We start from the raw sequence: 16,899 nt of genomic DNA on the forward strand, positions 1-16,899 counted from the left end.
TTCTCTATTCTTCCCTAGGGAAGGAGGAATCACATCATTTTTGGTTTGGGACAAAAACCTGGCTCAAATGTGTTCTGTGTCTCACAGAGGACATGCATTTTGATCAGCTTCTATTCCAGAATATACATTTTTTTCAGCACCACACCACACCTATTCCAAAACTGACCACATACTTGGAAGTAAAGCACTCCTCAGCAAATGTAAAAGAACAGAAATTATAACAAACTGTCTCTCAGACCACAATGCAATCAAACTAGAACTCAGGATTAAGAAACTCACTCAAATCCGCTCAACTACATGGAAACTGAACAACCTGCTGCTGAATGACTACTGGGTACATAACTAAATGAAGGCAGAAATAAAGATGTTCTTTGAAACCAATGAGAACAAAGACACAACATACCAGAATCTCTGGGACACATTCAAAGCAGTGTGTAAAGGGAAATTTATAGCACTAAATGCCCACAAGAGAAAGCAGGAAAGATCCAAAATTGACACCCTAACATCACAATTAAAAGAACTAGAAAAGCAAGAGCAAACACATTCAAAAGCTAGCAGAAGGCAAGAAATAACTAAAATCAGAGCAGAATTGAAGGAAATAGAGACACAAAAAACGCTTCAAAAAATTAATGAATCCAGGAGCTGGTTTTTTGAAAAGATCAGCAAAATTGATAGACCACTAGCAAGACTAATAAAGAAGAAAAGAGAGAAGAATCAAATAGACGCAATAAAAAATGATAAAGGGGATATCACCACTGATCCCACAGAAATACAAACTACCATCAGAGAATACTACAAACAACTCTATGCAAATAAAGTAGAAAATCTAGAAGAAATGGATAAATTCCTCGACACATACACCCTCCCAAGACTAAACCAGGAAGAAGTTGAATCTCTGAATAGACCAATAAACAGGCTCTGAAATTGTGGCAATAATCAATAGCTTACCAACCAAAAAAAGTCCAGGACCAGATGGATTCACAGCCGAATTCTACCAGAGGTACAAGGAGGAGCTGGCACCATTCCTTCTGAAACTATTCCAATCAACAGAAAAAGAGGGAATCCTCCCTAACTCATTTTATGAGGCCAGCATCATCCTGATACCAAAGCCTGGCAGGGACACAACAAAAAAAGAGAATTTTAGACCAATATCCTTGATGAACATTGATACAAAAATCCTCAATAAAATACTGGCAAACTGAATCCAGCAGCACATCAAAAAGCTTATCCACCATGATCAAGTGGGCTTCATCCCTGGGATGCAAGGCTGGTTCAACATACGCAAATCAATAAATGTAATCCAGCATATAAACAGAACAAAAGACAAAAACCACATGATTATCTCAATAGATTCAGAAAAGGCCTTTGACAAAATTCAACAACCTTCATGCTAAAAACTCTCAATAAATTAGGTATTGATGGGACGTATCTCAAAATAATAAGAGCTATCTATGACAAACCCACAGCCAATATCATACTGAATGGGCAAAAACTGGAAGCATTCCCTTTGAAAACTGGCACAAGACAGGGATGCCCTCTCTCACCACTCCTATTCAACATAGTGTTGGAAGTTCTGGCCAGGGCAATTAGGCAGGAGAAGGAAATAAAGGGTATTCAATTAGGAAAAGAGGAAGACAAATTGTCCGCGTTTGCAGACGACATGATTGTATATCTAGAAAACCCCATTGTCTCAGCCCAAAATCTCTTTAAGCTGATAAGCAACTTCAGCAAAGTCTCAGGATACAAAATCAATGTACAAAAATCACAAGCATTCTTATACACCAATAACAGACAAACAGAGAGCCAAATCATGAGTGAACTACCATTCACAATTGCTTCAAAGAGAATAAAATACCTAGGAATCAAACTTACAAGGGATGTGAAGGACCTCTTCAAGGAGAACTACAAACCACTGCTCAATGAAATAAAAGAGGATACACACAAATGGAAGAACATTCCATGCTCATGGGTAGGTAGAATCAATATCATGAAAATGGCTATACTGCCCAAGGTAATTTATAGATTCAATGCCATCCCCATCAAGCTACCAATGACTTTCTTCACAGAATTGGAAAAAACTACTTTAAAGTTCATATGGAACCAAAAAAGAGCCTGCATCACCAAGTCAATCCTAAGCCAAAAGAACAAAGCCGGAGGCATCACGCTACCTGACTTCAAACTACACTGCAAGGCTACAGTAACCAAAACAGCATGGTACTGGTACCAAAACAGAGATATAGATCAATGGAACAGAACAGAGCCCTCAGAAATAATGCTGCATATCTACAACCATCTGATCGTTGACAAACCTGACAAAAATAAGAAACGGGGAAAGGATTCCCTATTTAATAAATGGTGCCAGGAAAACTGGCTAGCCATATGGAGAAAGCTGAAACTGGATCCCTTCCTTACACCTTATACAAAAATTAATTCAAGATGGATTAAAGACTTACATGTTAGACCTAAAACCATAAAAACCCTAGAAGAAAACCTAGGCATTACCATTCAGGACATAGGCATGGGCAAGGGCTTCATGTCTAAAACACCAAAAGCAATGGCAACAAAAGCAAAAATTGACAAATGGGATCTAATTAAACTAAAGAGCTTCTGCACAGCAAAAGAAGCTACCATCAGAGTGAACAGGCAACCTACAAAATGGGAGAAAATTTTCGTAACCTACTCACCTGACAAAGGGCTAATATCCAGAATCTACAATGAACTCAAACAAATTTACAAGAAAAAATCAAACAACCCCATTAAAAAGTGGGCAAAGGATATGAACAGACACTTCTCAAAAGAAGACATTTATGCAGCCAAAAAACACATGAAAAAATGCTCATCATCACTGGCCATCAGTGAAATGCAAATCAAAACCACAATGAGATACCATCTCACACCAGTTAGAATGGCGATCATTAAAAAGTCAGGAAACAACAGGTGCTGGAGAGGATGTGGAGAAATAGGAACACTTTTACACTGTTGGTGGGAGTGTAAACTAGTTCAACCCTTGTGGAAGTCAGTGTGGCGATTCCTCAGGGATCTAGAACTAGAAATACCATTTGACCCAGCCATCCCATTACTGGGTATATACCCAAGGACTATAAATCATGCTGCTGTAAAGACACATGCACATGTATGTTTATTGTGGCACTATTTACAATAGCAAAGACTTGGAACCAATGCAGACGTCCAACAACGATAGACTGGATTAAGAAAATGGGGCACATATACACCATGGAATACTATGCAGCCATAAAAAATGATGAGTTCATGTCCTTTGTAGGGACATGGATGAAACTGGAAACCATTCTCAGCAAACTATCGCAAGGACAAAAAACCAAACACTGCGTGTTCTCACTCATAGGTGGGAATTGAACAATGAGAACACATGGATATAGGAAGGGGAACATCACACTCCGGGGATTGTTGTGGGGTTGGGGGAGGGGGGAGGGATAGCATTAGGAGATATACCTAATGCTAAATGACGAGTTAATGGGTGCAGCACACCAACATGGCATATGTATACATATGTAACAAATCTGCACATTGTGCACATGTACCCTAAAACTTAAAGTATAATAATAATAAAATTTAAAAAAAAAAGAAAGTCGGTGAACCTAGCAGCAGACATTTGGCCTTGGTAATACATTGTCATCTCATAGTTCATGACTTTGAAAACAGGCAAATTGTTAAAGATGAATTAAGTTTTAATATATATTCAATAGAGCAATTTTTTTCTCTGTTTCAGAAACCTTATTCCTTCTAGGAAAAAAAATGGTTGGAAACATGTTTGTGCGTATTCTTGATCAGGCAGCCAGAAATAGTAGGTAATACATTGATATATAGTATTCCCTCGGAAAAAATAAAACTGGGGGAGGAACCTCCCTGGTCCCAAGTGTCCACATGGCAGGGAAAGGCTAAAGCTGAGTATCCCATCTGTACCCAAAGCAGATCCTCTCCCATTTGCTCTACTCTCTCCCCCTCCCTACTGTCTTCCTAAGCCCCACTTCATTCAGTGATATTACCAGCTTGACATCTGTTTGAACTCCGTTTCTGGTACTGTGCTGGTTTTCCCTCATGGTGGTGTGCATTCTAGGAATTAATAAACAAACAGTGATTACAGACTTGCTACATGGGACTTGGTTTTATGAGGATTAAGGATGAACTATTCTCAAGAACAATATCCGCACATTAGCCATTGAGTGCCAATAATGTAAATATATCAGTGCTTTCCAAATTTCCACAGATTCAGCCCTCCAGAAGCAGACACTGAGACAGAATTTGGGATGCAAGGTCTTTGTCTGCGATCAGCAAATGTGAAGGGAAAGGTGAAGAACGGCACTCGGCCAAGGATGAAGCTGAACAGTGATGGAGGCCCCACAAAGTCTTGGCCAACCTTTCAAGAGGCCCTGAAGGGAGCTCTGGAGCTCTGAAAGATCCTATATTGGGTCCAAATGGTCTATTTTTTACACTTCTCAGCTCCAGAAATAGCTGTAGAAACAGCCCTGGGGAGTGGATAGCTGGAGCCAACAGCTTCCCTCACTCTCTGCAGCTGGGCTGCAGTCTTCTTGAAGGGGACCTGAGTGGCACCACCTTGACTCCACCACACACATTAATCTAAAATTTCAACATCCAACAAGATTCTGTATCAAACTTGATGAGTTGACTCTAACATTCATCTAGATTTAAAAATGTGTGAGAATAGGCAATACAAAATTGAAAATGAACAAATGGGGAGAAATTGGCCTGATAGGTTTTAAAACATGCTATGAAAGTCCAATAATTAAAATTGTGTCATATTGACACAAAAAAATAGAGTAGGGGAGGTAAAAATAACAGAATAGAGGTCAGAGAGAGCAAAGTATATTATATCTATATCTATATGTGTGTATGTGTGTGCATATATATATATATATATATATATATATATATATATATATATATATATGGAATAAACACAGAATGCATGTGGCATTTCAAGTCAGCAGGGAAAAAAGATTATTCGACAAATAGTGGGAATAGTTGCTTATTCATTCAAACAAAAATTCATTTTGGTCTCTACTTTATTAAAATAAATTCCAGTTACATTGAGGAATAAAGATAAAATACCCCTCAAAACTATAATGGCATTTTATAAATAATTTAAGTCATAATAGAATGTAATACATTTTATAATGCTTTGCTGAGTGGGGAAAGAGTTCTTACATGCAACAAATTTCAAATTCCATATATATCAAGAAACTGATAAATTTACTCTACGAAAGTAAAAACTATGTGCAATGAAATACACACAAATCAAATGAAAAGGCAAAAGTTAGTCCAGAAAAAAAATTGCAAAATTTACAACATACCCAAAGTAAAAATGTGTAACACATAAGAGCCCCTAAATATCCATGTGAAAAAGCAAAATAATAGAAACATGCAATTCAGAGTAGACCCGAATAGCTAATACACAAAATATAGTCAAATCAATAATCAGAAAATGCAAGCTAAACAACACTGGTAGATATTTCTAGATTATCAGATCCTGCACAAATTAACATGATTGATAGGTCATATCTAATATTGGCTACACTATGAGTTAATGCGTATTCTCATGACCATTTCTTTTTTTTGTTTTGTTTTTTAGAGACAGGGTGTCACTCCGTGACCTAGGCTGGAGTGCAGTGACATGATCATGGCTCACTGCAGCCTCAGCCTCTTGGGTTCAAACAATCCTCCCATCTCAGCCTCCCAAGTAGTTGGGACCACAGGTGTGTGCACTATACCTGACTAAATTTTTTGTTTTAAATTTTTGGTAGAGATAGGGTCTCTCTATATTGCCCATGCGTGGACCATTTCTAACAGAATAAATTGCTACAACCTTTTATTTTTTATTTTTATTTTTGTATATTTTTTAAGATGGAGTCTCACTCTGTTGCCTAGGCTGGAGTGCAGTGACACGATCTCAGCTCACGGCAACCTCCACCTCCCGGATTCAAGCGATTTGATTCTCCTGTCTCAGCCTTCTGAGTAGCTGGGATTACAGGCACCCACCACGATGCCTGGCTAATTTTTGTATTTTTAGTAGAGATGGGATTTCACCATGTTGGCCAGGCTGATCTCCAACTCCTGACCTCAAGTGATCCACCGGCCTCAGCCTCCCAAAGTGCTGGGATTGCAGGTGTGAACAACCACGTGCGGTCACTACAACCTTTTTAGAGGACAGTTTGGCAGTATTTGTCAAAATTGCCTACAGAAAAATCTGCCTGTGGGTATAAAATTGTACAATATAAATATAAATGGGTGTATTGCCATTATTTTGTATTCGTGAACAATTGGAAGCAATAATTCTATTACGAAAATGATTAAACTAGCCCACAATACCGATTGTATATCAGTACTGGGTATGAGTTGAGAAGTATTTGAGTATGTCGCAGTAGTAGACAACTCCAAAATCTCAGTGGCTTAAAACAAAAGGTGATGTCTTGCTCACACAGAGTCCTCTCAGGTCAGCTGGGGCTCTGCCTTGTGTTCTCATCCAGGGGCCAGGCAGACAGTGCCACCACCAGTCTGGAGTTTTATACCGTATTCCTAGCAGAAGAGACGGTGTGGTGCCTTGCAGACAGCTCTTAAAGCTTCCACTTAAAAATGATAACATGTCTCTCCCACTCACATATCATTCACAGGGAAATACCTAACCTCAAGGGCACTGCAAATTAAATCTACTGTGTGTTTCTTAGAAGTACAAGAAATTAAGGAACTACTACTCCATGGAATAAAAATATATTATACCTAAAAAGAATGAAGCAGATAAATATGTTCATATCTCAATTTAAAAGTTCCAATGTAGTTCTACAGTGTATTTAAATTCCATTGCTATCTTGAAAATACATATATTTGTATATGTATATATACATTCATGGAAATGAATTGACAAAGTTTTGAAATTGTAAGACCAACCATTAACAAGAAGATTGTGGCACAGCGTTGGTTGGGAGTAGTGATGGGATACTTTAACTTTTTCTTTATATACTGTAATATGTTTTTCAAAGTATAATTGTAGGAATGCATTAATATTGCTTGACTGATTTAAAAACTAATTTAAGAACGTCACCAAAGTTTCTTGGATCTTCTTTTTCCATTTCTTTAGATGGAAAAAAATAATTATCAAGAGGTGAACTGGAAAAATAAAGTTACTATCTGCATCTTATAAGTCCCAAGAAATATTTGTGTAGATTTACTATCTATATCTTGTATTTCCCAAAAAATATTTGTGTGAATTTACTCTCTATATTGTTTATGTCCCAAGTAATATTTGTGTGGATTGGTGAAGATGCATTCTATAATATTAGCTATTCCCAAATAAAGGAGTCATTAACTTTTATCAGACCAAAATATATTTTACTAGGAAATTTTAGCCCTTGGTCTCTTCCCTGTGGCTCTCCCATTTCTTAAAACAAAAGAGTTGTTTAGGAAAAAAATCCTGGTCCTTTTCCTCAATAGTCATCACAGTCATCACTTACACACACACACACACACACACACACAGAAACACCATCCCTACCACCCCCCCAAAACACACCCCCAACATACACACACAGGGTTGTTGATTGTCCTAAGCTAATTAATATATATATCATATATATTAATATATATCTACATATCTATTTATGTATGTATATATCTATATATATGTGTATATATATGTGTGTATAAAGATATCTATCTAGATGTGTATATATGTGTATATCTATATAGATATGTATATGCATACATATCAGACACACACACATATATTTATATGATATGAATAGATTTATTATAAGAATTGGTTCAGGTGATTATGGAGGCAGCCAGGTCCCAAGTCCCCAGATCTGCAGGGTGATTGGCAAGTTGGAGACCCAGGAGGACTGATGATGTCATTTTAGTCCAAAGATTGGCAGGGTGAGACCCAAGAAGAGCTGATGTTTCCATTCATGTCTGACGGCAGGAAGAAAACAATGTCCCAGTTTGAAGGCAGTCAGGCAGGAGGAGTTCCCTCTTATTCAGGGAAGGGTCAGCCTTTTGGTTGTATTCAGGCCTTCAACTGATTGAATGTGCCCCACCCACCTTAGAGAGGGCAACCTGCTTTACTCAGTCTATTGATTTAAATGTTAAATAAATAATTTTTAGAAACACTCACAGAGACACCAGAATGATGCTTGACCAAATATCTGGCTACCTCGTGGCCTAGTCAAGTTGACATAAAATTAACCATCACAGAAGCCTCACAGTACAATGAACTTGCTTCTGCAACTGCTAGTTTAGCTAGATGTTAACGTTGTAAAAAATAGATTGTGGAAATGTATAAGCCACCATGCTTATCCTCTCACAGTTTTATCATATGTAAGCCTATCAGGAACTGTATTTTAATGTCATGATAAATCTGTGCTCAGTTTTATATATCTTGGTCTCTGTGCAATAATTAACCTGATTCTTAAATAAATTGTAAAAAAGCTTCAAGAACATTTTATGAAATTCCCCTTGGTGGCATTAAGCACTAAGGAAGCTAATTGATTCCTTAAATTTTCAGTTAAGCCAGTGTATTCTTACTTACATGTTGCCCAATTATCTAATCCATGTTTATCAAAATAGATTTGCCCTCTTACTTAGTAAACTTTATTTGAATTTTCTTTTATTTTATTATGCTTTAAGTTCTGGGGTACATGTTCAGAAGATGCAGTTTTGTTACATAGGTATACACATGCCGTGGTGGTTTGCTGCACCCATCAACCAGTCACCTACATTAGGTATTTCTCCTAATGTTATCCCTCCCCTAGCCCCCCACCCCCCAACAGGCCCTGGTGTGTAATGTTCCTCTCCCTATGTCCATGTGTTCTCATTGTTCAACTCCCACTTATTTGAATTTTCAGAGAATAAATTGCCTTCATGAATTTTTCTTCATAAGCTTTTATCTTGTAAGTCATATTAGGAAACTTTGTTCATTAACTACTTAACTTTTCATCTTGGATTATAGATGAAGAGGAAAACCTCTGAAAATATAATTCTAAGGAAATTGGATGTGATACATTCCATCCAGAAAACAGTTTTGTTGAATGATCACTGCTCAGGAAGACTGTCAGAAATTCTTATCAATGCACTTGGCTAAAAATCATCAAGGCAATAATTTTATGGTACTTTATATTTTCAAGTAGAATTATATTTATTAAGCCTGATTAGTAGTCAATGGACCTATGAAGCTTGAAGCAAAGTAGTATCAGATTCATCAATCAAAGCATTAGAGGGTTAGAGGATTTTGCAAGATTATGTAGCCAGCACTCTTCCCATATTTAGACCTCAATGGTTCCAGGTTGTAAGAATCTATTCCACGATATTTTAAAAGCCCTCAGGATTCCCTAAGAATTTATTACCAAAAAAAGTATTGTATGGCAGCATGTAGCAATAATAAAATAGGTTTATGATATTTTTAAGCACAAAACTGAGACACTTTGATGATTTGTCTTTCTCCTAATTTCAAAAATTCATGAAATACTTGCTAATAACTACTTTCTTATTTCTAGAAGATCCTTAAAACTTTAATGAGAATGGTTAGAGCATCTACTTAAAATAACCACAGCTCCGACTTAACCCATTTAAATGGTCTTCCAATAAGAGAGGAAAGCAAAAAGGAGAAAACCAGAAAAAAATCAGAAAAAAAATGTCTGATATTTGCAGGCCACCTGAGGACTGAGCATGAATTTGAACAGTCTTTAAGAGCTGCCAGTTCATCGGAGTCAGCAGCACATGGGAATTCAGCCTACCAAGTGGCAGAAACTCTGCCTCCTCAGCCATCCTCTTAAAAGCCCATTTTCTCCAGCAGATCCCTGAAGGGCTGAGATGAAAGACATGGCATAAACAGGACTGGCCTTCAGATGCCCACAATATGTGGGAGACCTGAGGTTAGAATTAATAGATACGGGTATCTTTAGCTGTTTTTGTCTCCAAACATCTTGAGACCAGGTCAAATTTAGAAACAATTCTATTTGAGGAACTAAACCAGAAAGATTTATCAGTTAGGGTCAGGTTCAATTTCAAAAATATTTTTGTTTGGCCAGCTTTGCTTTCCAGCTTTGCTTTAGGAAAGCGTGGGTTTAAGGTTTGGTAAAACTCATTTACTAATTAAGGCTATTCTGTAGAACTATTTTCCAGCTCAAGCTGGAATTAAGATTCAGACATTTTTGGAGTGTGGTACATTGATCCTCAGGAAGTTATTGGAAGAATCAATTTTCTGGAGAGGTTTGGTCTAAAGGATCTTCTACACACAGGGTAAGGTAGTTAAAAAAGAAAAGCAAAATTAGATAAAATGTGCTAATTATTGAAGGACAATCCTAAATTAGAGATTTGGAAGAATCATAGAGAATGAATCTTTCCAGCAGCTAAGAATGCTCTGAACTGGGGGCAAAGGGTGAGAGTTCAGAAAAAATAGCATATAATAAATCACTGATATTCATCCTTGGTAAAAGGACTTGTGCCTCCCAGTCTCTTCTAAAGCTTACATTCTTGAGTGTGGTGGGGTTGGGGATGAGTGTTGGGTGTTGGAATTTCTATGGAGTTTGGGGAAGTCAAACACAGAGAAGATTTTTATGGTATTTCTATCAAAAACCCTAGAGTCTAACAAGTCTCATAGAGTCTGTCACATATGACTCAGGACCAGAAGGGTACCATGGAGGTGTAAAGTTAAGAAAAAATTTCACTAGCATAACAGGAGGTGAAAGAGCAAGGCAAGTGTGGGAATATTGGGAAAGTAGGGGTGAGGGTTAGGACAACTCATCATCAGAAGTGGTTAAGGATCAACAGATCCCATAAGAATGTTACGGAACAATAAATACTTTATGTATATTACTAGTGTGATAAATGGTCAATATAAAAGCTAAGAGCAATGATCACAACTATCAGACTTTGGGACCAGGAATGGAGAATGTGCGTTGAAGTGCATTTAAGGTAACTCTTCTTTCAGAGTGAGGGGGAAATAGGTGTCATCTTTATTAAAGAGTGTCAATAAGCATATCATTGACAATTACAGAGGGAACCATCATAAGATCTAAAAACAATCAAGATGAAAAGAGATTCATAGAGAATGGATAAGGAAATAAAGAAATAGACCAATGTTATACTTTAGCTTATTTTTTTTCTGTACAATTTAATGTTACTATGAGCAAGAATTACTATAATAAAGATGCAATGACAGTAACAATAATATCATTTGTGTAGTGGTTAAATCCATGGAGGTAAGTGTGCTTGGGTTTTAAATCTAGCACTTATTCAGAGGCTTGAGAAACTTTCTTTAACCTCTCTCATCTTAGTGTCTTCACGTGTAAAATCAGGGAAATTGTAGCTTATTCCTAGGATCACTGCAAGGATTTAATCAGTGAGTCTGTTCTCTGAAAGTGAATCTGTGTACAGCATTTAGACATATGGTAAATGCTATGGAAATATTAGGCTTTACTGCATAATACTTCTGATCCTTAACAGATTTATATTTGTCTACATAATGGTGATTCCTAAATCTACATAACTGGGGTTTGTGATGGTTAATTTTATGTATTAATTTGAGTGGACCACATGGTGTTCACATTAAACATTGTTTCTGGTGTGTCTGTGAGCATGTTTCCAGAGGAGATCAGCATTTGAATTATTGGTCTTAGCAAAATAGAGTGTCCTCCCCAGTGTGGGTGGGCTTTGTCCAATCCATGGAGGGTCTGAATAGGTTGAAATGTGGAAGGAGGACGCACCCCTTTTGTTCGTGCCTCACTACTTGAGTTGGGACATCTCATCTCATAGCCTCCTGTCTTGGGACTGGGGTTTACATCACTGGCTCCAGTGACTTTCAGGCCTTCAGGCTGAATTACACCACGGGCTTTTCTGATGCTCTGGTTTGCAGATCTCAGATGGGGGACTTCTCAGCCTCCACAATAATGTAAGCCAACTTTTTATAATAAATATCTATATATGTGTGTAATATATGTGTTTTATATATATATATATGAATAAATATGTATATATAGATACATATGTGTGTGTGTGTATATATACATATATCTCCTATTGGTTCTGTTTTTCTGAAGAACCCACACTAATACAATTATATCAACTTCTTCCAAATGGGTTACTTCCTCTTCATCCCACAGCCTGAGTGCCAGGTTGAGATCCCACTGTATCTCACAGGGTTCACTGCAGTAACTCCCTTCCAGGCCTCCTTCCTCTCCCTAGGCTTTCAGTCCTCTAACTCCTTCTCCAAACTTCCTCCAAAAGATTTTGCTAACTTGAACAGATTCCTCTTTCTCTATTAAAGTCTTTAATTATTCTCAATTGTGTAAGGAGAGTTTCCACTTCTTGATAAAGCAGCAAATCTATTTTGCTCTCCTGCCTTCTGATCTTAACATCTCGTGAGCAAGCCATGCTAATTTTTTGTATTTATCCAAAAAATCTATAGAGATAATAGTTTCGTTCTATAGCAATTGAGCCTCATCCAACATAGATACTAGGATTTCAGTACATGCTTACTGAACGAATGAATGAATTAATGAGATAATAGAACTATAATAATGCTGTTGTTTGCTTGATTCTAGGAATAGATAACATTTTTTCTAATCCTGAAGGTCTCAAATATTACATTTATAGGCTTCTGTGTCATATAAGTCCAATATGATGAGAAAATAAAAACCAATCTTTTCCCACATGTTTGGGGCTCATAGTCTTACCCAGAGTTGATCCTAAATACATATTTGTTAAATAATACATGAATGGCTAAGTGGATGAATGAATTAATATGTGTTCACTCTGAGCTCAATAATGCCTATTAAACAAAGCTAATTGAATTTAACTCCCAGCTGTATTTGAATTTTCATATTTTTAGAATTAAAAATTTCAATCCCTAGTATAGTTAAATGTCTTGGTGTTCTTAAAATAGGTGACATTTAAATGCAAAATTAGAGCCCAAAATCGTGTATTCAATGTTTTATCTTACAGTTCAGTGCATAGAATCTTTTACTCTATTAAAAGCATTCACCCCCAAACATTAGTCTCCTTTTCAGCCTTCATATGTTCTTGCTATGCAAATGGCACAGAGAATCCCAGCTCACCAGGAGTTGTAAAGGGCCTTAGTCCCATCACCTGTGAGCGTGAACGCTGTGAAGGCAGATCTTTTCAAAGCAGAGTGGACGAGGGCCCAGACAGTTTAAAGTGGGTGTGTGATTAATATGGGATGGTGAATGGTAATGGCTGGGATCCAACAAGCACAGGAAGACAAGGAGAGGAGCTCAGCTCAGTGGAAAGACCTGGTTGTATGTAAAAGGCTGATAAGAAAAAACCTCAATAAATTGTTTGGTCTTTAAAATGCCAGGTTAGCCTGGAGAATTGGGCCAAAGCTTAGTGGATATGAACCAGCTTCTGAGTTTCTTTTATTCTCCCTCACTTTTTCAGTATCACAACTATTACCAAAGACTGGAGGGGCATATCTCTTGCTTTCTTCTTCAGGATGGGGATATTGGGAGCCTCTGAATGGAGTTGACATGACGAAAAACAGCTTGAACTTTAGAAAAGCAAATGAGTTTATCTCATTTCAATTACAGGGTTTTGTGTCTCCTATTTAGTTATAAGGCAGTATAAAAATTTAATTGCCTAGAGGCAGAAAACTGTGACAAACCTTATTCTTATTCCCTATGTTGCTTCTTGGATTTTGACAGCATGAGCTCTGGGTATAATTTCAAAGTGAACTAAGTAACAACACCACTGAAAGGGAGTGGTTAAGTCAGTCAGTGATAATCAATAGAAGTAATGAATAAATAAATCTGACCCTGAAGTCAAAAAGGAACTTAAAATTTATTTCTTGCTTCCAGATAAGAATGGCAATTAAAATAATAGTTCTATTCCTGGATGAGACCATGGGTTAGTGCATACTTTAAAGTGACTTAAGAGTTGATTTGGACCTTAACAATTGTGACACAGGAACTCTGACATAAAACAAATTTCTTCGGGTCTCTCTGCGATTCTTTCATCTGGGCCAGATTTTGACTTCAGTTTTGACAACTAGCTAGTCTGTACATTCATTGCCGTAATCACATTTCAAAAGTATGCATTTTTCTTTTGTAATTCTCTACTTACTCCTCTAGAAGCTGTTCTGCTTCATGAGGAAGGGGTTACACCAGTTCTGTCCACTCTAATCTATCAGCACATAGCATGGTACCTGACATAACTTGTGCTTAATTAATGGGTGCTGAGTAAAAGAGTAATGAGGTGCATTTGAAGACTAACTGTTGGACAGAACAAGTCATTGGAGGACAGCATGAGTATCAACAGTTGGTAACTGCAAAAAAGATTTTGGTGAAATTCAAGTAAAGACTGGTTAAAATTTTCCCAAAATGAAATAAATTCATTTATTAATTTTGGGAAAATGTGAGCTGTTGAATTCCCTTTTACTTAGGAAAAATTTTATACTGGATCCTGGTAACAATCAAGGAGCAATGTATTGCTCAGGACATACAAAGCCTTTGATGACATAACCTTCCACTGTCCCTGGGCTTCTCCTGACCTTTCAGGCTTTTCTTCCTTCCCAGTCCATTTGCATTTCCCACTCTGTCCTTCCTGATTGTCTCCATTGCTTTTGTCGGTATGCTTCCTCTCCCTGGAACAATTATCTCCTCTTTGCAAGTAATCTCACTACCATTCTCTACATTTTAGAGTTAAAACTTTTGAGCATCCCTTCTGTGACTTGTGACCTCACTCTTTCTTTCTAACCTATTCCCTTTGGTAACTATCTCACTGCATTTTATGTATGCATTTTCCTTTTTCCCGAAGAGCATGAATCTATTGAAGTCAGAGATAATTTCTTATATCTTACTGAATCCCCACCATGGAAAATAGACTTCATGCTTCTCAGGGTATCAACAAATGACGGTAGAATGAATAAATCAGTGACTACTGGCCTAAGCTGTAAAGATTGCCTTGCTGCTTATGATGATTAATTTCATGTGTCAACTTGACTGGGCCATGAGGTGCCCAGTTATTTGGTCAAACATTATTCTGAGTGTTCCTGTGAGGGTGTTTTGTGATGCTTAACATTTAAATCAATAGATTGAACAAAGCAGATTGTCCTCCCCAAACTGGGTAGGTCTTCTTCGATCAGTTGAAGGCCTGAATGAAACAAAGAGGTTGACCCTTCCCTGAATACAAGGAAATTTCTCCTGCCTGACTGCCTTAGAGCTGGGAGATTGCTTTCTTCTTGTCTTTGAACTTGAATGGAAACATCAGCTCTTCTTGCATCTTAAGCCTACCAACTTTTGGACTGAAACTACATCGTTAGCCCTTCTGGGTCTCCAGTTTGCCAAATACAGAGCTTGGGACTTCTCAGCCTCCATAATCATGTGAACCAATTCTTTACAATAAGTCTTTCTTGGAGGATGCTGACTAATCCACTTCTTGTCAGTCAAAGCAAAGTAACTTGGAACATTTCTCTCTTTGACTTTCTAATTCCTCCTGATATTTTATGTTTGGATATAGTGATCTAGTGACTGAGATTTTAAGATAAGCATCTGTGACCTATGAGTATTTTCTTTTCCTTTCTTTTCCTTTATTTTCATACCTTACCTGTGCCACTTTCTAGCTCTTCCTTATAAGTTTGAAATATGTATAAATTGAAAACATACAATTGTAGAGAAAGAACATGTTTTTCTTATGAATTTTATAAACATTTTCAACAACAAATGTTTAATAATATTTCTGCATATTTATATATAACCTATTTCCCTATCAATTATTTTTCAGTGATTCTAACTTATTGCTTTTTAGGAGCTTTGGAGATTTGAAAGATTAGTCCTGTACTTTCAGTGGTCAATTATTTTTAAAGGATTTCATAAAACTTTAAATGCATTTTATCTACTTGAATACAGGTTTACAGCTGTATAAAAAACTAAATGTTCATTGACAGTCAAAAAAAGAAAGACAGAAATGTTTTATAGAGAGAATTAAAATATTAAGGCCCATATTTGGGGGGATAAAAGTATAATAAAACTCTAATTATTTAGAATTCTATTTTTTGCAGCATGGAAAGAATGCCCGAGATTATGGATGACATTAACGGTTATGATGATAATGACTGAAAATAAAAATAAAATACAAAGATAGGCCTTGGAAATTAAGTCACACTTAAAACTACTAATAATACTCGATATGCTGTTGGTTAGAAAATTAATCAGAAGTAAAATAACATTATTGTTTTGGAATGGTGTTTGGACATTAACATTGTTAGCAAGAGAGAGATGTTTCAAAAATATTAAGATCATGTCATTCTATGGCTTAGCAATCAACAGTGGTTTCTTGTCTTTGGCACAAAATCCAATTTCCGATTTTAATCCATACATTCCTATTTGCTCTGGTCCCTGACTATGTATTCCTGTTCATGAAGTTTCAGCCCTCATGACCACATTCTTGCCAAGTTTATTTCTTCTTCAGTGTGTTTGTATTTGCTGTTTCTCATTATTCAACTGCTTTTTAGAAAATCTTATTGGTTTTTGTCTTTCAGATCTGAACTCAGAAGTCACCTTCCCGGCCTTCTCTGAGAATCTGATTTGATATGTGGTCCTTCCCTTCTGCTCCAAGCAACAGTCTGTACATCACTGCATTCATTTTCTTAAAGGCACTTATCAGAAATATTTTCTTCATTTATTTATCTGAACTACCATCTTAGAATTCAAATTCCATGGGAGTAAGCGTCCTGTCTGTCTCATTCACTGCCACATTTCCAGCTCCTGGGAAACTGCCTGACAAGAAGCAAGAGGGGAGCTAGAATGATCAAATGGGTTCCACATAAATCGTAATGTTGTCAAGGCCTTCCGGAAAAACCCTTAGAGTTAGCATTTGAGAATCTTTGCAGAGTGAATA

At 37.0% G+C, this 16,899-nt stretch overlaps 1 long non-coding RNA gene across 4 annotated transcripts in view; it reads right to left on the bottom strand.

Moving 5' to 3' along the window:
• LOC105373914 (uncharacterized) overlaps positions 1-16,899 on the bottom strand; it is a 211,043-nt gene that overhangs the window by 32,141 nt on the left and 162,003 nt on the right. For 3 of the 4 annotated variants that reach the window (XR_007088109.1, XR_007088110.1, XR_007088111.1), the window contains one exon: positions 4,026-4,092. The exons of the other annotated variant lie outside the window; for it this stretch is intronic. This is a non-coding gene — a long non-coding RNA (uncharacterized LOC105373914). The remainder of the gene's footprint in view (positions 1-4,025; positions 4,093-16,899) is intronic. 4 annotated transcript variants of the gene reach the window in all.

Source organism: Homo sapiens, chromosome 2 (assembly GCF_000001405.40).
Source record: "Homo sapiens chromosome 2, GRCh38.p14 Primary Assembly".
Classification (NCBI taxonomy): Eukaryota; Metazoa; Chordata; class Mammalia; order Primates; family Hominidae; genus Homo; species Homo sapiens.